General features: G+C 42.3%; 1 protein-coding gene across 4 annotated transcripts in view, besides 1 other annotated feature; it reads right to left on the bottom strand.

Moving 5' to 3' along the window:
• Positions 1–25,949, bottom strand: part of C3orf52 (chromosome 3 open reading frame 52) — a 49,993-nt gene that overhangs the window by 23,653 nt on the left and 391 nt on the right. For 3 of the 4 annotated variants that reach the window (XR_924171.4, XR_007095726.1, NM_024616.3), the window contains exons 2-4: positions 19,240–19,369; positions 9,764–9,891; positions 3,116–3,186 (exon numbers count right to left, since the gene is read on the bottom strand). Coding sequence is in view for 2 of the 4 variants with exons in the window: in NM_024616.3 (NP_078892.3) it covers positions 3,116–3,186; positions 9,764–9,891; positions 19,240–19,369 (329 nt within the window). In the remaining 2 variants the exon portion in view is untranslated. The remainder of the gene's footprint in view (positions 1–3,115; positions 3,187–9,763; positions 9,892–19,239; positions 19,370–25,949) is intronic. The other variant, NM_001171747.2, reaches the window with a different exon arrangement.
• Positions 9,889–11,088: an enhancer, noted in NCBI's record as "CDK7 strongly-dependent group 2 enhancer chr3:111820488-111821687 (GRCh37/hg19 assembly coordinates)". NCBI's record gives its function as "activates an origin of replication core promoter dependent on BRD2, BRD4, P300/CBP, MED14 and CDK7 cofactors, with strong dependence on CDK7, by STARR-seq in HCT116 cells {active_cell/tissue: HCT116}" and the evidence as "EXISTENCE:reporter gene assay evidence [ECO:0000049][PMID:35650434]".

The following is a 25,949-nucleotide window of genomic DNA, read 5'->3' as shown; positions in this document are numbered from 1 at the left end:
GAATCCACTGGGAGAGGCCATCAGAGGTAGAGGTAGAGGTGCCCATCTCCAGTCAAGATGCTGAGAAGATCCCAGGCTTGACCCACCATCTGTCCCAACCCCAGCCTTCATCCCTTAAGGCAAGCCAGGGAAGCCTCCCCTTTTCTCCACACACATTCCTTCTTCATGTTCTCAGCATTGCCCCCACAAAGGTGTGCCAGGGATATTTAGTTTAACCAATTCTTTATTTGACCTATGAAAATGTTTAAGGCACAGCCAAAGTTTCCTACCATTGGCTGGGTCCAGAACTTCTGAACGTTGACAGAGACCACCCTGTGTATCAGCAACAAATCAGGCTTCCCTGGTTTGTCCCCAAAGTGAGAAACTTTTCTGTCCCATTTCCAGAGGCCCCTAGGGCAAGATAACCAAGCCCTGTAACTCTCAGTAATGGGACCTAAGGAAAGGGAATTTTCATCTTCCTAGAACATTTTTTCCCATTTCCAAAATAAAAATAATCAAGGGCTACCCTCCATTAATTAGTGTCTAATGCTACTCTTTAAATGCTACTTCAACATTTAGTTTATTCATAGTTATCCTATTACTTTGGTTTAAGATGGGCCAGATTAAGAACCAGCAATAAAATAATGAGCAGGAGGCCACATCTGAGACTATCACCTTGGGGAAGTTTTGCAGATGCACCAGTCCCATTAGTGTGAATCAGGCCACTGCCCCTGCTAAGGATAGGCAAAGAGCTCCCTCTTCTGGCTACAGGTCACATAGGCCGATACTCTTCGATCTTACAAGGTGGCTGACAATTGAGCTTATAAACTCTACTACGGCTGGGAGATGTGCCAGATCCTGCAGATCAAATGAATAATGGAGAGTCAGGACTCTGAAGAAACTCATAGTTTCAAGGATGCCACTAAAGGAGGGCCAAAAAATGCACTTTCAAACTGCAATCCAGCTAACCTAGTTTGCAGGTGTCATAACTTGTTCCCTGAGCTCTGCCCTCTAATTATCGCTAATGATGATCAACACCTACACAGCCAGCCACCCTGCATTCCCAGGGGCAAGGACTTGGGCTGGCTAATGAAGAGGGCCAGAGTCTGACTTTCAGAAGACCAGGTCAGAAGCTGAATGGGAAAATCAGGCCACCTAGCCTGGCCTGGCCAGCCCATCCTAATCCCCCATGGCAGGTCACAGGGTAAATTTACATGAGGCTGAATTTTGAGAAAAGAGCAACTTTCAGGGCCTTTCGCCCAGCTGCCCACCACTGGAGTGAGTCTAGCAGCTAATAAACCAAAGGGCATTTTTCCAGGTTCTAGCTGGGCCAGTCCAGGGCTGAGGTCACAATGCCCCTGTAGACACAAATGCATGTGCCAGGGATTTAGCCGCCTCCCACCCATGTGCAGCAGCACCCTTTGGGAAGCAATGGCTTTTCTTCCTCAATTCAATACTTTAGGACCTCTGCCTGGACTTCTTGAAATAAAGTGCAGAGATGTCACCGTAAGTACCATGTACACTGGGTCTGTTTTGTTTTGTCTTGTTTGAGTCTCTCTGTGTCACAGGCTGGAGTGCAATGGTGCGATCTCAGCTCACTGCAACCTGCGACTCCCTGGTTCACACAATTCTCCCGCTTCAGCCTCCCAAGTAGCTGGGTTTACAGGCACGCGCCACCACGTCCAGCTAATTTTTGTATTTTTAGTAGACATGGGGTTTCACCATGTTGGCCAGGATGGTCTCAATCTCCTGACCTCATGATCTGCCTACCTCAGCCTCCCAAAGTACTGGGATTACAGGTGTAAGCCACCATGCCCAGCCCATTGGGGGTCTTTAAAGAAGGAGATCAAAGGCAGCCTGCACCATATGTATCTGTAGACTTCAGGTCTGTTTGGCCCCACACCATGGTGCTACCTACCACCTGCTTTATGTGCCTCCCCTCCCAGGTCTGCTAATATTAGGGTTTGGAGAACTTATAGTTTGAAGGGGGAATCTCAATATAATACAACTTTTGATGGTCATATTCCAGAGACATCTCAGGCATAATGGATAATGAAGCTTTGATATAAATTTTAAGTCATCTCCAATAGTCCCAATGATGTAAAAGGATAATAAATGGACTCTACACACATACACCCTGATGCCTACATCTCAAGAACATTAAAGATGAGGAGGAAATTTAAAAAATAAAAAATACATATGGGTGTGTATATCCTATGTGTGTGTAGTATTTGTGGTGCCTATGGTAGATACATGAACAGAAGTAATTACACTCAACTCTTGACAGCTATTACCTCCATGGAAGGGAATGGCATTAGTTATTGGTGGTGGCAGTGGAGAAGAAAGGAGGCAGAAGGGAGACTTTTCCTGTGCATACCTCTTTATGTCTTCTTTTTTTTATTTTTATTTATTTTTATTTTTTTGACAGAGTCTCACTCTGTCACTCAGGCTGGAGTGCAGTGGCGCAATCTCGGCTCACTGCAACCTCCCCTCCCGAATTCAAGAGATTCTCCTGCCTCAGCCTCCTGAGTAGCTGGGATTAGAGGCACCCACCAACACACCTGGCTAATTTTTGTATTTTTAGTTGAGACAGGGTTTCACCACGTTGGCCAGGCTAGTCTTGAACTCCTGACCTCAAGTGATCTGCCCGCCTTGGCCTCGCAAAGTGCTGGGATTACAGGCGTGAGCTACCACGCCCGGCCCCTCTTTACATCTTTAATACTAAACAAGGAGAATGTACTCCTGTATTACTTGTGCTCCTCAAAAGCAAATGCCTATACATGTATCACTCGCATCACAGCACGACCTGAGATCTATTTCTACTTCTACCCTTAGCTTATTTGAGCATTCATTGTTAAACAGAAATGGTTTACCTGGGACTGGCTTTTCCCCTCTTCTGTGTGACCCTGGTTGAATTATACCATTAATCTGGGCTTCCTTTTTCTCATTTGTAAAATAAGGGAGTTGAGCCTGTTGGTGTAAAAGACCTTCCCAGCACTGACATTCTGTGATTCTATTACAGGTTCCCTTCATGCTCTGAGGCTCTGGGAATCCCTGCTAGGTAAATGACGAAGGGTGGGGTGGGGGGATCTCTTTCCAGAGAAAGAGAGCAAAATGTAATGTTCCACACTCTTACCTGAAGTCCACTATTTCAACTGAAGTAAAATAACGACCCAGAGAGGGCGATGTACTGTACACATCTGTGAGCTAAACAAACAGAAGCAAATTAAACCACACACATTACCGACAGATCATATTACACATCACCTGACAAAGCAAAACTGCTTCTAAGGCAGAGGAGATTCCACTCCAGCCTGGAATCAACGTTATCTGGAAGCTCTGGATCAAGAATTGAGCCCACCATAAATCAAAACTCAAGTTAATGCTACTTCAAAAGAACTCCATTTATAAGGACCAAATGACTCAGTTTCTCTCAGAAGTTGCACTGGCACCCTGTGGCCTTAGTGGTGAGAATATCAGCAGCTGGAGCCCACACAGGCCTCACAGACCATAGGAAGGAGAGAAGAGAAGACCCCAAAATGGCTGCTGGACAGCAGCAGCACAGACCACTTAGCACCTGGGACATTGCTTAGCCCAGGGCTTCTTTCTCCCTTCTCCAGAGCTTCAGTGTAAAGACAAACAGCCATGCTAAGCCATGGGTCTAGCACATCCCCTGGACAAAGAGACAAAGAGGGGAACTGCAAAAATATGGAGGCTTTATTTTATGCATGAAATATTGCAAGCATCATAAAAAATAATGACACCTGTGTTTCCACTACCTAGCTTTCATGTCTTCATATTTGCTATATTGGGTTCAGCCCTTTAATTTAAGAAACAAAATAAAGCTAAAGTGACTCCTACATACTATTCAGTTCCTCCTCTCTCTCTTTCTTAATACTAACCATCATTCTGAAGCTGGCATGCATCCTTTCCTTGCATATTTTTACAAATTACTACTTATTTATGTAATCATAACAAAATATAATTTGTGTTTTTATTCAAATAAAAGGCACCATATTCTACATAATCTTCTAAAACTTGCCTTTTTTCACTCAAAATTACATTTAAGATTTACCCATAAAGTAAATCTCAATGAAAGGCATTCACCTAACTCCTGCACAGATTCCTTTAAATGAGTATACCAGCCTATCCATTCCTCTGATGATGATCACATGCACTATTCTCAATTTTCCCCATCACAACTTATGCTGAAGCAATCATCCTTAATGTCTCCATGCATCTCTTCTTGGACATGCGGGAGTTTCCAATGGGCATATGCCAAGAAAAGGAATTGTTGGGTTTAAGGGTAGGTGCATCTCCAACTTCACAAAATTGTTCTCCCTTTCCCACCCCTCCCAGCAATGTATAAATATCCATTTCCCACATCCTTACCAGCACTTAGTGTTACCAAACTTAAATTTTTACCACTCCGAGGAGTATAAAATAGTGCTTCACATTGTTTTAATTTGTACTGCCTCGCTTACTAGTGAGGTTGAACATCTTTTCATGTTTATTAACTCTTTGGGACTTTTCATCTCTGAATTTCTCACTCATTTCCTTTCCTTCTCTTGGCTTATCTGTCTTTTTCTTATCTATCTGAAGTGGTTAGTTTTATATTCTGGATACTAGTTGTTGATATTATGTTACAAGTATCTTTTCCCAGGCATTGAGTAGTTGTGTTTCAGATATCTGAATCCTAAACTAGTAGTACTAGGAACATGTGCCATCCCCAGCTACAGCCATTATGGCTTAATGACCTATTACTTTATTCAATAACAAGCAGTCGAACATACAAAAAACAGCAGTGCCCTATGGGGAGCTTACCCTGTTTCCCCTCAACTCCAAATGGAATGTCAAGGACGCTGCACTTCCACAATACACTCCCATTTAACTCAACATGTACAACCCATATCTCAAAGAGAACAAAAGATGAGAGTGCCTGCTATTTCTGCTCTTCTAATCTTGTCACTACTGTTGTGATCTTTATAAAAACCTGGCAAAACAGGCATTAATATATCTCCCCTTTTTACTGGAAAATTAAACAGCACTCCATTCCATGAGATGAAGAAAACCTGTCCCAGGTCACTGTGCTAGTAAAAGGAGAAGCCAAAATTCAATCCTACATGTTATGAACACTAAAAACCAGCTTCTTCCCATCTGACCACACTACCCAGTGAAGAAGAAATTGATATATATACAGTGAAGGAAAGTGTCTCCTGAATATCAAGGAGGAAAGAAGCTTAAAGTGACAAAAACTTTCGGAGAAAATGACTGAGTCATTGTACAGCTCTTAAGCCCCAATGCACAGGATGTTGCCGATAGGCTGACAGTCATTTAGAAAACTCGGGAACTAGGAAAGCAGCTTTCACGGGGATGCTGTGATGGAGAGGAGGATGAGGATGCTGCAGAGGAGAATCTTTTCAAGCACTAATGTCAAGCACTCATGTCTTTCTCTTCCTTTTGGATTGAGCTTCCTATGGCAAAGGTGATATTTATCCTTCCTTCCAGTCTTCTCTGCTTCCTCCTTCCCTTCTTTCCTTTATTAATCTTTAGGGCCCAGCACAGTGTTTTGCACATAACAGGCTTTCAGCAAATTTTTAAGTTAAAATTTTAAGGTAACATATGGAGTGGTCGACTAAATCATTTTTAGTGTTCACTCGAAGATTCTTTTTGATCATGCTCCTCTGCTGTACTTAGGACATATTTACATTTGGGGAGCTGTTAGTCACACTGTCCACTTTGGGCCCAAAGAAGTGAAATAGGGTGGTTCCTCAACCCTTAGTCTTGTGTCTCCCACACAATGTCTATGAGGCTTGGTGCAAACTGAGCAAGGAGCTCAGCGAATTGATTAGCTGAGTCTGATGCAGTGGCTAATTAGAGACCAGCTTCCAGAATAAGGCAGGTGCCATCATTAACTCCTAACCCATGCACAGGGTGTGGTAGTCACACAGGCTGGCTTAAGCAGAGTAATGGCCCCAACCCTGAGAGGAAAACACTGTGGCAGTGACACATGGCAGGGCCTGTGTTTAGAAAAGTCAAGGGAAAGGGCATAAAGTTCCAATACTGTGATATAATAACAATATGTATACTGTTTAGTCTCTGCCCCAGTTCCTGGCACAGAATTCCTAAAACCCTTGTTACTTCCTGAGTGACAGGGGCGCCGGGTACATCTTTTACTCTAACATTTGGTCTTTACTCCAGCTCCTGACACAGACCTGCTCCTAAATCTCTTGCAGTTTCCTGGGTTATAGGAGTGTCTTTATTTCTGATGAGGCAACTCTTGGCGGGCTGCTGGATGGGGGCTGATCATCAGAAAGACCAAGCCGCAGCTAGAAGCTTGGAACTTTCAGCCAGTGTGGTGGAGTGGGATGGTGCATGCGTGTAGTCCCAGCTACTCGGGAGACTGAGCAGGGAGAATCGCTTGAGGCCAGGAGCTTGATATCAGCCTAGGCAATATAGTGAAAACTGTCTGGAGAAAAAAAAAAGAAGAAGAAGAAATCTGAAGCTTTTGGCCCCACCTCCACCCCCATCCTCCAGAGGGGAGAGAGGCTGGAAAGCAAGCTAATAATCCACCATGCCTATGTGAGGAAATCTCCATAAAAATCCCTAAAAGACAGAGTCTGGAGAGCTCCCAGGTGGCTGAACACATTTACAAGGGAGAGTGGCACACCTGAAAGGACATGGATGCCCACATTCTGTCCCACGTGTCCGCCCTATGTACCTTTTTATCTGGCTTTTGATATCCTCTATTTTCTACAGTGTGCCCATAAATGTGATGCTTCCCTGAGCTCTGTGAGCCATTCTAGCAAATGACCAAACCCAAGGTGGGGGTTTTGGAGACCTCCAATTTGCAGCTGGTTGGTCAGAAGCACAAGTGACAACCTAGACTTGTAACTGAACTGGCATCTTTTTTTTTTTTTTTTTTTGGAGACTAAGTCTCGCTCTGTTGCCCAGGCTGGAGTGCAGTGGCACGGTCTCGGCTCACTGCAAGCTCTGCCTGCCGGGTTCACACCATTCGCCTGCCTCAGCCTCCCGTAACTGGCATCTTAAATGAGGGAAGTTTTGTGGGGCTGAACCCTTAAACTATGGGGTCTGCACTAACTCCAGGCAGATCATGTCAGAATTGAACTGGATTGCAAGACACCCAGCTGGTGGCAGATAATTGGTTGGTGTGGAAAACACACACACACACACACACACACACACACACGGCCAAAGAAGTGTTCTGCATTGAATGTGGGTATAGAGAAAAAAATAATTTTTCCCCCACAAATACCCACTTCCATTTACCTTTTATATCCAGAAACTTCTGAAACTTGACCTAATGGAAGAAAGGAGTTATTGACCTGACAATAAGACAGCAATACCTTTAGGTGCTAATTTTTGTTCCTGAGCATATTTGGTTGACGAATGAAGGGCAGGAATCTGTCACCTCACTATGCCTTACTTTGATCATTTGTAAATAAGATAATTCTTTTAAAATGTTTTTCAAGTTATTTTTATGTAATCTCATTTGCACCTGAGATACACAGAGAAAGTGCACTGGTTTCCATTTATCAGCGAAGAAACTGGCTCAAAGAAATCTGTGGACCCACCACAGGCATCAATGTCAGTCCCTGTTCTTTTGCCACTACCTAGTGATGAGCTCAAAATACCCGCAGAATTTCCTCATATCTGACTCTGTGCAAGATATATGGTTGTAAAATGAAAAATGAACATTCATTTACCTTTGAAATAGACAGTCTACTATGCAACAGGTGACACATGTGGATGCTGACTCATCTTATTTCTGCTCAGCAAATGCAAAAACCTCTCCATTAAAAAAGCAGCCAAGAGGAAAGTAGCAAGAAGCGTCTCACTCAGCAACTTGCCCCAGGAAGCAGGTGGAAGGAAAGGAGAAAAGGAGGTGAAGATAAGACATAAATGAAGAGACTTCAAGGACTTGATGGAAAAGGTGGTGGGGGTGAGGGATAAAAGACTACAAATTGGGCACAGTGTACACTGCTCGGGTAATGGGTGCACCAAAATCTCAGAAATCACCACCAAAGAACTTATTCATGTAACCAAATACCACCTGGTCCCCCAAAACCTACGGAAATAAAAAATAAAAATAAATAAATAAATTTAAACAATCTAAAAAAAATTTAAAGATATAAATGAAGAGAAGGAGAAAGAGAAATCTGGAGTAATCATCACAGGATACCAACTCCTGTGATAAAAGAAGCAATGAAATCTCATGCGTGGGTACCCAGAAACTGATTCTGATGTGACCTGGATGGAATCGCCTCTTCAGGAGCTTTTGTAGGAATCAAATCGAATGGAAGTTAGATAAACAGCACTCACTCCATTCAACCTAGCAATGGCAGAGAAGAATTTAATGGAGGGCAGCCTGCTCTTGCCTAGATTTTCTTATCAAAATTTCTGGGTCTGGCTGTGAACCACCTTGTCTTTGACAGGATGATCAGGATGCCCCACCCAACGGTCCTAGTCTGGCTGCAGAGCTTCCATCTTCCACAGAGGGTTCATTCTCCTGGGTTTCTCATCCCATGACTGACACCGCCATCCATCTGCCCAATCACTCAACTGGAGCTTGGAGTCATGCTCTCCTCACCACCACCCAATCAGTCATGGACTCTTATTGAGTGAGAATACCTCTTAAATCTCACGCAAATCTTCCTTATTTTCCCGACACTGCCCTAGTTCAAGTCTCCCTCATTTCTCACCTGGACTATTGTAACACCTTCTAACTGATCTCTTCCTCCTGGCTTTCTCCACCAAAACACAGAAAGGCTAAAAGGAAAAATCTAACTGTGTCAATCTGCTGATTAAAATATTTTGGTGCCTTATTGAAGAGTGGGAAAGCCTTCATGACCTGACGCCTGCCTTCCTTTTTAGCCTTATCTCTGCCAGCTGTCACCACAAAGCATGGGAAGGCCACAGTACACTACTTTGCAGATCCTTTAATGTCCCATGCTTTTTTATTTAGAACATTCCTACCTCATTTCAAAACTCATCCTGAGCATCACTTCACTTAACAGGCCTTTCATGCCTTCATCTTCACCTGAGGTAGCTCAGATGCCCCTCCTTTGCCACTGTACAACACACTAGAACATACCACACTATTATAAAACGATCTTTTTAGTCACTTCCTGTACTTGGACTGTGAGACCCCTGAAGGCACAGACAATGTGGCCCTGGCACTTGGCATGCTGTCTAGCACATCACAGACCCTCAATGAATACTATAGGTTGAATTAAATGTAGGACCTAAGGGAGTAAAAAGAACAGTGTCCTCCAGCATTTATGCAGCTGGAGGCCAGGAATCTTCCCTCTGGCTTTGCACTACAGTAAAGATATTTACTTATTTTTTTAACAAAGTTTTATTTTAGGCTCAGGAGAATACATGTGCATGTTTCTTCTATAGGTAAACTCGTGTCATGGCGGTTTGTTGTACAGATTATTTTGTCACCCAGGTACTAAGCCTAGTACCCAATAGTTACTTTTTTTCCTGCTCCTCTCCCTCTTCCCACCCTCCGCCCTTAAGTAGGCCCCAGTGTCTGTTCCTCTCTTCGTGTCCATGTGTTCTCATCATTTAGCTCCCACTTGTAAGTGAGAACATGTGGTATTTGGTCATAAAATATATTTATAAGCATCATTTTCTGCTAAAATCCAGACAAAGAATCCAAAATTGAAGCTACTTACTCTATAGCTCTATGCCAATTATTCTAGCAAAATTCATATTCTAATGTCAAGAACTCCTTAGGCAATATATAAGATGGAATTACCCTTTCGGTGAGCAGGTGAGGCAATTCCTCTTCAGCAACACACTCCTCTGGAATCTTCAGCATGATGAAGAATGTTTTGTTTGATGATAATTCAAGTATTTCATTTTCATCTTCATCAACATAAGTTACTAAAGAAAGTAGGGGAGGTGGAAATGAAAAACAAAAGTAAACACCTGCATATAATAATAAACTTATTTATTCCATTGACTGCCATACTTAAACATAACTATGAGCATCAAGGGTAAAGGCTGAACACAGCAAGCAAGTGTAAGCAGAAATGCTTTCTCCACTCAGCAAAATTGAGTAAAATACAGGGGTTTGCCTCTATCAAAATAAAAAGTTTGTTTTATGGCAAAGGGGTCTCAGATTCCACTGAATACAGACTGGGGAAAGGGCCCAAGGGAGTAGGAAGAATATGAACTTCCTTATTAGACTAAACCTGCAGCTTAGCTAGGTACACAGGTGTCAAGGCAGGTACTGGGAGACGGTGGGGGTGGCTAAACTACACTCAGAGCCCCAGGGTGTGCAGGAATTGTTCAGGTCAATGAATTAGCATGTATTAGGGTCAAGGTATATTTATAGACTCAGATTCCGAAATCATTTACATTTTATAAATGGGAAAACAGACCCAGAGGGTTGACGAGTTTGCCTAAAACAATGAGTGATGAAGGACAGGAAGTGGGAGCAAGTAACTGCATTGACTCACCTCCCAATTCTGTGCTGGCAAAGACCACCATGAAGAAGTGACATCATCGACTCAAACAACAGAGGTGACTAGAAAATGAGCATGCGAGTCCATGTCTTGAAGTCTCCCCAGGAAGACAGAGGATGAGCATGAAGTCATCACTCTAGACTATGTCTCACAGGACAGGTATGTTGACATGCTCTGCTTGCAGAAGGGAAGCTAAACTATATTCAGAGCCCCAGGGTGTGCAGGAATTACATTCCTGGGACAATTAGTTATGTATTGCTGCTTGTGTTTAATGACTGCCATCTAATTGATTTTTAAGTAGTTGGAACTAAAGGAAAATCACACAAAGTGAGGAGCCAGGCGCCAGAAGCTAGCACTACTGTGCTAATTATGCTCCCCTGGCTCCACAACAGCCTCACCAGCTGGTCCCACACAGGAGACTACCTCTCTGGCCCTGAGAAAGGCGTAGGTGGGAGGAACCAGGTGCTTATATTGCCATAGACTTTAAGACCATAGTGGAATAAATTCAGTGTTTGAGATGGAAGGACAGGTAAAAAGGAGGAAGATTCCTGGTATTCCGGTTACTTATTCTGTGATGACATCTGGAAATACGAGGCATTACGAGCAAGGAATGTGCAGAAAAGAGTTAATATAGCAGGCCTGAGATTGCTAGCATAAGAAAGGCCTCCTCAAAATTGGTCCTGGCTGGTGTCTGAGAACCTGGATTTTCCCCTGATGAGAGGGGCTCACTGTGCCTCAACTGTTTGTACAATGTGGCTAACATCTCCTTTCCTTCTGGGAGTCTGGATTTTTAGTGCATAGTAGGCAGAGGCTACGTATATGACCAAGCCCCAGTGAAAACCCCGGGTACTGAATCTCCAATAAGCTTCCCTAGTAGATGAGATCTCACATGTGTTGTCACAGCCTATCGCTGGAGGAATTAAACAAGTCTGGTGCAACTCCACTGAGAGAGGACACTTGAAAGCTTGCTCCTGGTTTTCTCTGGATTTTGCTGTAATTAATCATTTGATGTAATGTATCCTTTTGCTGTAATAGATCATAGTGATCAGTAGGACTGCATGCTGAGTCCTGTGTATCCTCCTAGCAAATTGTTGAATCTAGGAGTAATCTTGGGGACCCCCAAACGTAGGGAATTATCCCTGCGTCCTTAATTGTTATAAGTCATGACATTATGTTGTATGATTTAAAAAAAAAGTTACGCCTTCATAGCAAAAAATTTTGCAAAGTGCAGGAAATTGTAACAAAGCAAAGAAAAAAATACGAATAATCTTGCAATCAAGAGGGTTTTTTCCTCCTATACTTGATATTATATATTTAAGGTCCTAACAAATAGGTAATTTATATCCTGCTTTTTGTTGTTTGCTGCCATTATTGCTTACTTATCCTGATTGTTCTGTTGTAAACATATCAAAAGCCATTTCCCATGTGCTTAAAATTCCTTGCAAAGATTATTTCAATGGCTTCATAATGTTCATAATAGGCTCACCTATTTTCTTAAATATGACATTTATCATTTTTAGCTTTCTACTTCTATAAATAATATTTCAATGGGTATCTTTGAGCTCTATACCCACCATGTAGATTTCCATAATAGATATCAATGCCTCAGAAAACAATAGGGGATGCCAAGAGGATAGATACAAGGTTCAAATAACTGCTAAACTCAAGGACACTGAGAAGAGATGCCAAGTGTGAAAACAGGCCTCCCATAATAGCTCTGACACATATTTAATGTGTATCATTCAAATCATGAATCTGTACCAAGACCTATCTAAATAGTTGTGTGTGTCAAAATAATAACAATAGTAACAACGACAGGCTTACTCAGTCAGGAGAGTTTTTATGTCACTAATGAGATAATCTGGGCTATACTTATTCGTGTAGAAAAAACATATTTTTAAAAATCACAAAAACATGTGTTGTATGTTGAAGGAACATGAAAACAGTTCTTTGGCTAGAATATAAGAAATTAAGCTAGAGAGAGAGCCCTTAAACGCCAGATACCTTCAAGGGGTAATGGAGTGTTGTTAAACATCGCCCACGAAGAAAGTAGAGGCTGGTGTTTAATGGAGGTTAATCGGGTGGTCATGGATGGGATAAATGAAACGAGGAGAGATGAGGCAGAGAGGCCAACAGGCACAAGTTTGGAACAGACTGATTTGACTGACAGCAGAAGGAACAAAAAGAAAAAATTAATGAGAAAGCCCAGGATAGTAGAAACAGAGCTGGCTTTAAAGGCAGCCAGACTCAGTCTGAACTCCTGTTGGCTATTTGTTAGCCAGGTGACCTTGAGCAAGTCACTTAAATCTCTGAAGCTACTTCTCCAACAGAAATATCAACACCTACAATGTAGGTGATAGTAAAGATGAAAACCAACATGCATAAAGTATCCTGCATGGTGCCTTGTAGTAAGTGGGAAAGTTGCTATCAAGACACTACCAAGGAATAACTGGTAAGATTTGGCCATTATCTAGATATGAGAAAGAAGAAATCAAAAAGGTTTCCAAGATATCAAGCCCAGGAACAGGAAGAATAATAGCTACTGTATTAAGTATGACGTGCAAACATTCTACTATGCACCTTATGAATATATTTTCCTCACATAATCCTCACATTAACCCAATGAGTTAAATATTGTTGTTTTCATTTTTAAATGAAGACACTGAGGCTTAGAGAAAATGCATAATTTGTTCAGGTCAATGAATTAGCATGTATTAGGGTCAAGGTATATTTATAGACTCAGATTCCGAAATCCTTTACATTTTATAAATGGGAAAACAGGCCCAGAGGCTTGACAAGTTTGCCTAAAGTTACACAATTGGATAGTAGCAGAACTAAAATAAACTTGGTCTTATATAAAGGGTGAGTGAATGGGGAAAAGATGAACAAATTGGGATGAAGGATATGTTATGGTCTGAATGTTTGTGTCTCCCCGAAAAATGCATATGTTGAAATCTAACCACCAATGTGAGCGTGTATTAGTCCATTCTCACACTGCTATAAAGAACTACCTGAGACTGGGCAATTTATGAAGAAAAGAGGTTTAATTGTCTTACAGTTCTGCGGGCTTAACAGGAAGCAAGGATGGGAGCCCTCAGGAAACTTACAATTATAGCAGAAGGCTCAGGGGAAACAAGCATGTCTTACCATGGGGGAGCAGGAGAGAGAGAGAAAGAGCAAACAACAAAGAGCCACACACTTTTAAACCATCAGATCTCATGAGAATTCACACACTATCATGAGAATAGCAAAGGGGAAATCTACCCCCATGATCCAATCACCTCCCACCAGGCCCCTCTTATCATTCAACATGAGATTTGGGCAGGGACACAAATCCAAACAATATCAGATGGTCTTAGAGGGTGGGGCCTTTGGGAGGTGATTAGATCATGAGGGGAGAGCACTTTTGAATGGTATTAGTGCCCTTATAAAAGAGGCCCAGAAAGCTGCCTTTCCCCTTATACCATAGAAGATATAGCTAGAAGGCATGATCTACGAAATAAAAAGTGTGCCCTCACCAGACAGCAAATGTGTGCTGACACTTTGATCTTGGAGTTCCCAGCCTCCAGAACTGTAAGCAATAAATTTCTGTTATGTATAAGCTACCTAGTTTATGATATTCTGTTATAGTAGCCCAAGCAGACTAAAATAGCATACAAACAAATGGTAGTTTCACATGTATAATAATTGAGATGATGACAGTTATTTTTAGATAAATATCTCTAGCCAAGAGTACTTCCAAAACTCAGGAAAATTGTACAGATGTAGATCTAGGAGTCACCTTCTTGGAGGCATGGCTGCTGTCCTGGGAGTGAATGAGCTCTCCAAGAAAAAGAATGAAGAATGTGAAAAGTCACGAAGCTGAAGAGAAGCCTCATGAACCCACAATGCAGATGCCAAGAGCAAAAATAGCAAAATCAACCTAAAGTCCAGGAGTTCTATAGACTCAGAAGAGTATAATGAAGTTGGCAGAGCTAAAAGCTGACAATAAGGCAGGAGACAGAGAAATGTTGGCTTCCACGATCAGACAATTGCTAGTAATCTTGGGAAGAAAAATTGGGAACCAATAGATACAAGAGGTTTGGGAGTCTGCAGGAGGCAAGATTCAAATGCAGACCTTTCTTTCTGGAAGTGTGCCAGTGAAAGAAGGGAGAGAAAAACACATATCTAAATGAAGTAGCAAGAATCCTGATGGAAGATTGCTTTGAAGGAGAGAGGATGCTAGTGCATTTGAAGAGTTAACCCATTTATACCTGAGGTTGAACTTTTCGAATTTTTGCATTCAGACTTTGGTGATGACCTTGAGCAGTAAGATATAAATAACTTCTACATGATTAGCATTCCAATAATGGAACACTAGGCATAAATTAAGAAGAACCTGAGGATGCTTAGAGAGAGGAGGAGATATCTGAAGATCTCTGGGTCAGAGGAAGCTGAAAGATATTATATGGAGACCACAGGTAAGGGTGTCCATCTTGGTAGAGAAACATCAGCGATTTGAAGAAAAGATAAACAGGTGAAAATGGAAAGAAATTTCAAGGTACTGGGTCTAGCACTGCTCTCATGTTCCTGCCCCAAAGGACCTTGGCAGCTTATAGCTTGTTAATGCTGTCTGCCTAGGATTTTCCCATGAGTCACCCTACACCAGGGAGCATTACCCTGTGAAAACTGTCAGTCTGCCAGAACCACATGACATCATAAAATGTAGCTCTTATTCACAACTGAAAGGCAAACAAATCCACTCAACACAACGTCACTTAGGAAGTCGTTGCTTATATCTCAGTACCACAGCGTTCCTACTCATAAAAGGTGTATAAATTAAGAGATTAGGGTCAGGCAAGAATCTGGGGTATAATGTTGGGGGATATCACATGAGGGTCTCCAGGATGTTATCAATTTAAATCATGTTTCTAAGCATCCACCTACTTGTCACAGTTTTGTTTTTGAAATATTTAAAATATTTTGCCCCAACCAAAACTTCATTAGTAAAGTGTTATTCAGGGTCTCACCTCTCCATGACTAGGGTGAATTATTGAAGAAAGGAGAACCCTTGAGAACACTCAACTGATCCTCCAAATTATCCAGAAAGAAAATGACTTTGAGAAAAAGATGAAGGCTTTTGTTTCTGTACCTTTCAAATCAAGAAATTTATAATTCCTTATGAGGAAGGAAAGAATCCATTAATACCTTTTCCCTAAAGAGTCTCAAATAACAGAATTCCCTGGGTTCCACTCATAAAAATGGACATTAAAAAAATTTCCATGTCGATTGTGAGTCTGGTGGACAGGTAGCCTCTTTTCCCTAGCACATACAAAGCCCCTACTCAGTGCTTTAAGCTAAGCCATGATCCTGAATTTGTCATTCTTCAATGGCATACAAGGGAAGAGTAGTGGGCAAGCCCAACCCATGTACAGGCAATGAAGGCTGCACAGTCTGTAGAGAATGAGCAGCAATAATAAAACCTACTACAAGTTGGTCTGCTTTTATTATCACCACATGCTGACAATTCTTAATTCGAGTGAAAAAATATAACTCCCCACTGGACACCCTGCCCTGGGTACCCAGGTGTCCCCTCCCCAACTTTCTGTTCTGAGATGCTTTCACTGTCCCATTTTATGTCCACCCCAACTGCACAGTTTTGAAGGCTAAAGAAATTCCGTCTTAGTTATTATTTCACTGTATTAACTTCTGATTAATCCCAGCTCTGGAAATGCCTCTAAGATTTCTATTTCATCTACTGTTGCATGTATAAGAGCACATACTTACCATAAATCTCACCCTCAGGTCTAAACAACCTTAACGTTATCTACATGCCATAAATCTTGCCCTTATGCAATTATAAAACACATCCCTTCTGAAGCATGCATACCCTTTTTCTGTGGTATTTAAGCCCTGGGCCTTTGGGGTAATGGTGCAGGAATGCACCATCTCCTCTCACTGCTGCCCAACGCATGGCTTCTGTTCCTAAAACCCTGTTAAATGTTTCTTTCTGAGTAACTGGATTTGTCAGTTTTTCTTTAGCCTCTCAGCTTCCTCAGCCTTTCTGGGTAGTTTTGCAAAGACCTGCCTACTGAAGAACAAAAGTTAACACTTCCGCCTCCAAGCTTCAGTCTGAAGACTACAGAGCCTTGAGACAGGAGATTAAGGGGTCTAGAGAAGGGTAAGCAGGCAATGAATGGCAAATATAGTTCCTGAGGAACCTTAGTCACCCAGTAAATCCAGACAGCCACAGGCACAGCCCTTGACTCTCCCAACAGTGTTTTTATCCCCAGACAACATTTCCCATGCAGTACTTGAAAGTTCCACAAATATCTGATTCATATTAATGGGCTTGGCAATTAGGAAGTGGCTGATTATTGAAGATCATCCCCAAAAAATGCCTACGGAACTGCTCTAGGTGAGGCTGGGACTGTCACAGAAGGGAGCCCCTGCCCCACCCCTTTTAACCTACTGTATCTCCCCCCACCCCCACGTCTAACATGACTCTCCCCACAGGATCAAATACCTAAGAGCTGAGATGCCAAGTAAAATACAAGTATTTCCTTGATTTAAAAAGTAGTTTGAAAAAATCTCTCTTACAGCATTGACATGTTCGAACACAAATTTACAGTTAAATTAAAAATAAAGTTTGCACTACAAGTGTTAAAAAAATTCTTCCCTGAATATTATCCCATAACCTTTTACATCTCCAGAAAAACTGTGGAAGGAAGTGAAATACCTTCCTCTTGCAGACTGCTCTTTGTGAGGTGAAGAGGTTAGATGACTTTTTGAGAATGGAAGACAGATCCTGGGTCTTGCGCTTTAGAATCCTGAATATTAAACCATCTAGATCTCTTGAATCATCCTTTATGATAGGCCCCAGATGCCAACAGGATCCAAATATCAACTTCTAGGATAGCACCAACTAGTTATGTCAGGACAAGATTGTGCTACTCAACCTCATTTTCAACATCCATGTGTTGGAATTGATATGAATAGGAAGTATGGCAATGCTCACACCAAAACTATTGTCCTCAGCATGACGGAGGAGGTGCAGCACACTTCATTAGCTTTTTCCTACCTTAACACCAGCTTATATCCTCAAACAGTCATCCAACACACCTGAACAATGCCCTAAGTAAATACGTAGATATGGTGCCTGGCCAGGAAACTTATGTGCTGGAGGTTGGCTGATGTCATCAAAGTTTTCCTATTCCTTCAGGAATTACAAAACTCTAAGACAGGAAATTAAGGGGTTGGGAGAAGGGGAAACAAGCGGTAAATGGAAAATGTAGTTTCTGAGGAAAATTCCTGAGAACTCCCTCTGGAGAGACTGGGGAGTTACCCCTTCTTCTTCTCATTCTATGACTGGGTTTGTAACTGGGAGCTGGACTCAACCCATGCCGCATGAAGGCTGGATCATGCTCGGGAGTATCCCAGCCTCAGTCGAGCCCCTCTCTACCATCACCCCCACATATAAATAAAAACAATTTTCTTCTTTCCCATTTTGAATTGAAATGATTGTCCACTGGAGGATGTAAAAACTTTAACGAATACTAATAATCATTAAAAAATTGGTAACTACCTAAAGAACTTTAAATGATGTGGAAGACTGTATCATGCAAATCATAAAAATAATAATGTTCACAAATAATTTTTAATGACTTGGCAAAATGATCTAAACATAATATCAAAATCCTAAAGGTAGTCCACAAGACTATAAAGAAATCTAATCTCAAATTATTTTAGAAATGCAACTAAACAAAAGACTAGAAGAAAATATGACCAAATATTAATATTACAGATGGGTTTTATGGGTAACTGAACATATATCATTTTTCAATCAAAATAAGCAACAACATGAAATAATATATGGAATAGATGTAGTCATATATAGTTAGCATTCTATACATTTTTTGTTTTATACACACATACAACACTAATAAAATAAACAGTCATTTCTAAAACAAGTTAAAATTGGGCCAAGCATGGTGGCTCATGCCTCTAATCCCAGCAATTTGGGAGGCCAAGGCAGGCAGATCACTTGAGGTCAGGAGTTCAAGACCAACCCGGACAACATGGCAAAACCCCGTCTCTACTAAAAATACAAAAATTAGCTGGGCGTGGTGGCACATGCCTATAATTCCAGCTATTTCGGAGGCTGAGGCATGAGAATTCCTTGAACTTGGGAGGCAGAGGTTGCAGCGAGCCAAAGTCGTGCCACTGCACTCTAGCCTGGGTGACAGAGTAAGACTTTCTCTCAAAAAAAAAAATAAATAAATACAATAAGTTAAAATAATGACAGCTTATGGACACATGGTTCTTCAAAGTTTTTTAAAACTCTTTCAAATACATTATTTATTATTTTATCATCATAGTAATATATCAGACACACCAGATGAAGTATAATTATTTTTAGCAAACAAATGAAAAGAAAAAGAATTCAAATCAACAGGTATCAGGATATAAATAAAATATAAATCAGTGTTTAAGTAAGTTGAAACATTAAGAAACCTCTTCAAGATCCAATGAGCAGAGTTTAAAGTAAAACACTGGTTTCTATATTTCTTCTGGAGCTTATAAAACAACAAAATACAACAACAACAGAAAACAAAAACACAAGAATCAGGCATATCTCCCACCCATACAATATATTCCAAGCCGGTCTTAAATTCACATTATAAATAATGAAATGGCTATGAGTACATCTTCCATTTCAGTGTAAGTCACAAGCCTTAAGTAAGTTCTTAAAATGTGTTATTTATTCACATCTAAATCCTCTTACCTGCAGCAAGACATAAGCCTATGATGATCACTGTAATGACACCTAGGAAAATGGAGGTGATGATCATCCACAGTTTGCATCTTCCAACCACATTCTTATTACAGGAGCTCCAGGGGCTTTCCTTGTTAGCCTAGAAAGGCAGAGGGAGATTGTGAGGCAGTCATTGTGTTGCAACAGACAGTTCTGAATACCTAGGATGTGCCAGAGACACAGAAATGAAGGCAGCAAGACCCTGACCTTAGGGCAACACTCTACTGAATCAAGTTTTCAAAAAGAGAGATCAGAGGCAGAACAGAACCTCATCAAGAAGTTAGCAAGAAAATCCTCTGGGGGCTCTGAAGTGGGGAGGATAGGCAGGATTTTGAAAGATGGATTTTTGAAGGCATTCCAAACCCAGGAAAGAGCATCCAAAGTGTGGATTCGTAATGGAACCGGCCAGCAGACTAGCCTGCCGACTGGAATGTGGGTTTCAGAGGCAAATAATGAAAGTTAAGATTAGAGAGAGTGAAAGGCTGGGAGCACACTCAGAGGGTGTTGATAGCTGTCCCAGAATAGATTGGACTTAATTGGGTGTGCACTGGAAACTTGAAGGTTTTGAAACACCAGAGCCGAGTTGAAAATTAAGGGAAAATCATGTGTGGTTTAGAGTGGAAACACCAAGAAAAAGCTACAAGGCTACTGCTGTGGCCTAGGTTCTATGTAAAAAAGGGTTGGGAAGGGAAATGAAAGGACAGCTGCAAGAGACAACAGGAAATAAGCTGCAAAGCTGGAGTGAGAAGGCTGGAGTGAGGCAGAGGAGGGGTCAATGAAAACAAGTACAACTGCTATGGTTTATTGAGCACCAGCGTCATTTCACTTAACCCTAACAGCCCTTCAGGGTGTGCACTAGTCCATTTCAAAGACGCAATTCAGAGAGATGAGCCAGAACCAATCCCTGCTGTGTGTCTCCACAAAGCTCTCCAACTTTCCCTTTTGTCCACATCACTGTGCAGAGCTCCGGTTTATGAGGGTGTCACAGAGGGGCCCCCACCTTACCCTATATGGTCCCATGACTCTTCTCCTACTTCCCACTCCACCATTAGATAATTCTTTCATGGAGACCATGGGAAACAACAGAATACAATGGGGAAAAAATGTGTCTGTATCTAACACACTTGGATTCCAAACCAAGATATACCACTTAAAGGCAAGGTGGCTTTAAGCAAGCTACTGAAACTCATAGGCCCCAAAGTCCTCAGCTTTAAAATATATAAATAGTAAATTAGCTCACAGGACTGTTGCAAAAACTAGAGATAATGGACACAAAGCATCTGCTAAACAATTATTGGGAGTTCGGCCAAAGGGTGCAACTGCGCCTCAGTCATTCCTCAGCGTTCACCATCCCACAAAGCAGCAGCCGGCACTCGAGGAGACTCGCTCCTGACCGACACCTGGCCACCTGGCCTGCTTTCTCTCCCATTCTTTTTTTTTTTTTTCTTTTTTTCTTGAGATGGAGTCTCGCTCTGTCGCCCAGGCTGGAGTGCAGCAGCACGATCTCCGCTCACTGCAAGCTCCGCCTCCCGGGTTCACGCCATTCTCCTGCCTCAGCCTCCCGAGTAGCTGGGACTACAGGCGCCCGCCACCACGCCCGGCTAATTTTTTGTATATTTAGTAGAGACGGGGTTTCACTGTGTTAGCCAGGATGGTCTCGATCTCCTGACCTCGTGATCCTCCCGCCTCAACCTCCCAAAGTGCTGGGATTACAGGCATGAGCCACCGCGACTGGCCTTCTCTGCCATTCTTATTTTGGTGCTGGCCATCAGAAAACGAATCGGTCAGTCCACACTTGGACTGTATTTCCAACCTTCTCAATTAGAGGTGCCCAAGCCTGGCTGCACATCAGAATCACTGGGTAAGGATTTTAACTGACACATACCTAGGCCCCACCTGCACCTAGTGGACCAGATTGTAAGGGAGGTGGGAGGAGGCCATGGCAGACCTCTGGTCTGAGGCCTCCCACCTTTCGGGAGTTAGGTCAAATCTCCCCTTTGGTGGAAGCCTCCCTCCCCACCTGCCCTTAGTGAGATCTTCCAATACCTGAGCTGTCCACATAGCCCATCTGCTGTTGCCACTGACTGCCCTGTCCGGTTTCAGGTTCAAAAACAAACAGAGCCTGGCCTTATCTTCCTGCGTAAACTGAAACCACATAGAGGAGGGGTGCTCTTAAACTGCCCTGTTCTTATATTCCACACCTGTGCCTTCTACAAGTAATATACATTTAACGATTGTGGGCTGTTTAGTTGTAGAGGCCTCCCAGAAATTTTAAGAATGGACTTTGAGAAAATCTAGATGAGGGGACAAATGTTGGATTTCCCAAGTGCACTTTACACTGACTCTGAGGCCTAGCCTGTCAGAGGTGCGAGGGGAGCACTTAAAGGCCCTAGGGATATCTTGACAGAGGAAATCCCTCTTGAGTTAAGTGCATTTCTGGAATCCAGGGATAGGGTCACCTCTCATCCCCACTCAAAACCTGCAGAACTGCTTCAAAGCCAGGGGAAGCCACACGGGAAAAAGACATCCCAGTACAAAGAATCTTCAGTTTCTCAGGGGACAGAAACATCTCCCCATTTACAGAGCTCCTGAGGCCAAAGCCCTGGTGCTATTTTCAGCCCTCATAAAAGGCAGCTGGGACCCATAAAGATTAGCACAAAAGGAAATATCTAGTTTCAAATGAGCCATAGAATGAGTGTCAATGCACCTCCTTGGCCTCTCATGCCTTTATTTATGCTGTCCCTTAGAGATCACAAATTAGGACTCTGGTGTGTTGAAAAAAACCACTAATTACTCTATGACTTCCTGGAGGAACTCAGCTTAAAATTTTACAGCCGTCATCTATAGGAAATGCCTCTTCCTGTAGCCTAGTGCCCTCACTGACCTGTCCTCAGCTCTAAGAGGAAGACCGCTGAGCGCTATCCCTTACATGATTAATATTCACAGACTTTATGTCATTATAAAATGGTCTGTCACAACAAAAAATAAAAATAAAAAAATAGCCAGACATGACGGTTTACACCTGTGGTCCCAGATACTGAGGAGTCTGAGGTGGGAGGATCGCTTGAGCCCAAGAGGTCAAGGCTGCAGTGAGCTATGAGCATACTACTGCACTCCAGCCTGGGTGGCAGGAGTGAGACTCTCTCAAATGAAAAAAAAAAAAAAAAAAAAAGCACATGAAACTGTCAGACACTCCCAGCCAAACAATAGACTGTACAGTGCTTCTCAGCTGTCTGCCCATTAGAATCAGCTGAGGAATTAGTATCTTTTAGAAGTAACGCCCGGAGATTCCAATGTGCCCTGAGGGTGAAGAGCCTGTGACACAGTAGGTGTGTGCTACCTGTGCCATCTGAGTCTTGCCTCAAAACTGGATCATGAAGACACACTGCCTTCTTCACTGGCTTCATCTCTCTTGCCCAAATTCTAGATCGTGAGGAGAGGCCACACATAGATTCTTCTGCAAGGTGCCTTCCGGAGATATTTGCAACTGCATCTTACATTCTATTATTGTTTTACATGGCTTAATAATTTACATTTGCAATCTGCATCTTATATTCTGTGATCATATTATATGGCTCAAGAATTTTCAGGGCTTTCCTATGAACATTCCCCGGATATTTACATCCGTCTTTAGATAAAGGTCTAAATACATGACACAGGATCCTGCAACAGTGGCAGGATACCTATCTCTTACATCTAAAAAGCCTTTCTTCTTTTTGACTCAATCAGAAGCAGATATTATATAGATCAGGGAAAATTTTCTTACAGGTAGGAAACTCTTCATAATACTCATTGTGGGATTTAATCCACTTGTTTGATCCAAGCACAAAAGAGCCAGTTGATTCTTGTCCTAAACTGAACAACACGTGGCAATGGAGCTAATTTTTAGCTAGCTCATTGAAATAAATCTTTTTTTTTTTTTTTTTTTTTGAGACGAAGTTTCACTCTTGTTGCCCAGGCTGGAGTGCAGTGGCGTGATCTGGGCTCACCACGACCTCCGCCTCCCAGGTTCAAGCGAGTCTCCTGCCTCAGCCTTCCTGAGTAGCTAGGATTACAGGCATGCGCCACCACACCCGGCTAATTTTGTATTTTTTTTAGTAGAGACGGGGTTTCTCCATGTTGGTCAGGCTGGTCTCGAACTCCCAACCTCAGATGATCCACCTGCCTTGGCCTCCCAAAGTGCTGGGATTACAGGCGTGAGCCGCTGTACCCGGCCTGAAATAAATCTTACCTGCCTCAAAACTATCAATTTACTGGTTTGTTATTATTCAAATGATGTTGCCATCTCTTAAAATGCCTCTGGGATTTCTATTTGAAAACTGAGCCCCTGTAATAAGCCATAAAAGAAAACCAGCCTCACTCTATTACCCATAATTTATTTTTCACTTTTGACCCAGCCATATTGCCATGTTTACAGTGACAGCAGGCAAAGTGGAGTTCAGTGGCTTCTATTCCTTTGTCTCAAGTGCCAAGCACACATCAAGAAAGGCAAAGAAGTTCCTTCTACTGCTTTTGTTCACTCTCCCACCACAGCTCTTCCAAGGAAGAAGAGAGATGTCTTCTTCCCAATCATTCCAGAACTGTTCCCGATTCCTCACCCATCCACCTGCAACTCCATCATTCCAGATGTGATACTCAACTCCTAGCTCACTTAAATTGCCTAATTATAAATTACCTAACTTATAGAAATTAGTAATAATTAATAACTTAGGCAACTATAAACAAATGAGTATAAATTATATATAACATATTTAAATTAAATGCTGATAGATAATAGATAGATAGATAGATAGATAGAATAAATCAACAGAAACAGCAAAGGTTTGAGATCTAAAAAACATACGTTCAAGCTTCAGAGGCACCACTGAGTGAACTTGAGGATTTTGGTAACTCCTCTGAGCCTCCCTCAATTTCTTCACTCAGCATCTTCAATCTGACAAACCAGAATACTGACGCCTTCCTCTTAAGTTAGTTGTGATAATTAAATGCATTTATGCATCAAAAGTATTTGTCACAAGACAGTTACTAAACAGGGTTAATGAAAATACATGGACTTCAGCTACATTTCAAAATTAGAAATCTTAATATACAGTTCAAAGAGACCAACACACAAAATTCTTAAGTGTCTGAATCTTTTTAATGAGCCTATATTTATTGACTTTTCTAACTGAAATACACTTCACTTTATTTTATAGGACAAAAGAGAATGATTAACACATTAGATGAGATTAGTTCAAGGCATTCCTTGAACACACTCCAAGTACTCCTGTAGCCCTTCACCTTCACTCCATCCTGTTACTGAGGACAGCTCTCCTATTGGGTGACCTACAAAGCTAACTTACAAAGAAGTCCAGGGTATCTGTATATACCTTACTAACAAGGACGTCATGAGAACATTAAAGAACCATTGCTACAGGGTAGGTGCTAAACAATTACAGAATACTGATAACCCTGCATGGATTTGGCTTGTTCTACCCACCACCTGTTTTCAACAAGGCATTCCCAGGCCTCACAGAAGGCCGAGTAGGCACACATTACCACTACGGGACAGGCTTGCCTCTGGGACACACTTCTTAGTGGCAAAACTGTCACCAGATTTCTGGATTCAGCCCCAAGCTAGGGAGTCTTTAGGGTGTGCGGGTCCATCTAATCTGAGGCAAGTATTTCCAACTCCCATTCCTGGACACCGCCCTGGAGGACTCATACAGCCAGTTCACAGTTGTGGCCACTTGCACTGGTGACCAGACTATCTTTGTTCAACCTTCATTCTTCTGTGGCATTCATATTTTATTCAGAAATAAGTTTCCAAATTACTCTCCAGAGTACCTATAAAAGCAGACTTTGCAATAGTTCCAGGAATCAATGTAGAACAAAAGCAATGCTTTCAACTTTTGAATTTCCTGCTTATCCCTAAAATCAACAGCTGGGCAGCCAAAAAGTTGGGGGTGGAGGAGTGGGGCCTAGAAAGATCAGGTCGGGGCTCTATATGGGGAGTTCTGTGCACCCAGAAAACCTCAAGCCAATCTTAGGAGTTAATCAGAAGGTGGATGGCTGGGAAGTCAAAGCTCTGATGTTTTACAAGTCTTTGATGAGAGTGAATAATGTTCCCATCATTGCTAGGGATGAATCAGAAAAGAGCTTGGCCTAAAAATAGCCAGGGACTTCCTTAGGGATTGAGAGGAGGTAAAAGCAAGGTGGGCGAAGTCTCAACCTTCGAGACAAGAACTTTGAAATTATTTTCTTTCAATTGAGCAGGGCAAGTTCACCTCCCCCGCGCCGACCCCCTAACCCGCCCGCCCCATCTCTACGCCAGCCCTACCCCTTCTCCCCTTCTGACCGCTTTCTCTCCTCTGTGCTCTCCCCTATCTCTCTTCCGGCAGAATCCAATGGCCAGGCTGGGAGAAGGCAGAAAGTGCTTGGCGGATGGTAGGCATGGAAGAAGGCTGGGGGCTGCGGCGAGGTGGGTGGAGGGGAGGGAGAGAAGTGGCAAGGCAGTGAAGGTAAGAGGAGGACAGAAGAGATTCTGAGAGAAGGAGGATACTCAATTTGTCATTCTCATTCTCCCTACTGGAAAAAAGAAAAACTGAATTAAAAGTTACATAACTTTAAAAAACTACTTCCATCTCCGGAATACCTCTCTGAAGACAGCAGCGGCCACACCTCACCACTAGGATTCCTAA

The sequence above is a fragment of the Homo sapiens genome, chromosome 3, assembly GCF_000001405.40.
Source record: "Homo sapiens chromosome 3, GRCh38.p14 Primary Assembly".
Lineage (NCBI taxonomy): Eukaryota > Metazoa > Chordata > Mammalia > Primates > Hominidae > Homo > Homo sapiens.
This window is presented reverse-complemented; position numbering and strand designations above follow the sequence as displayed.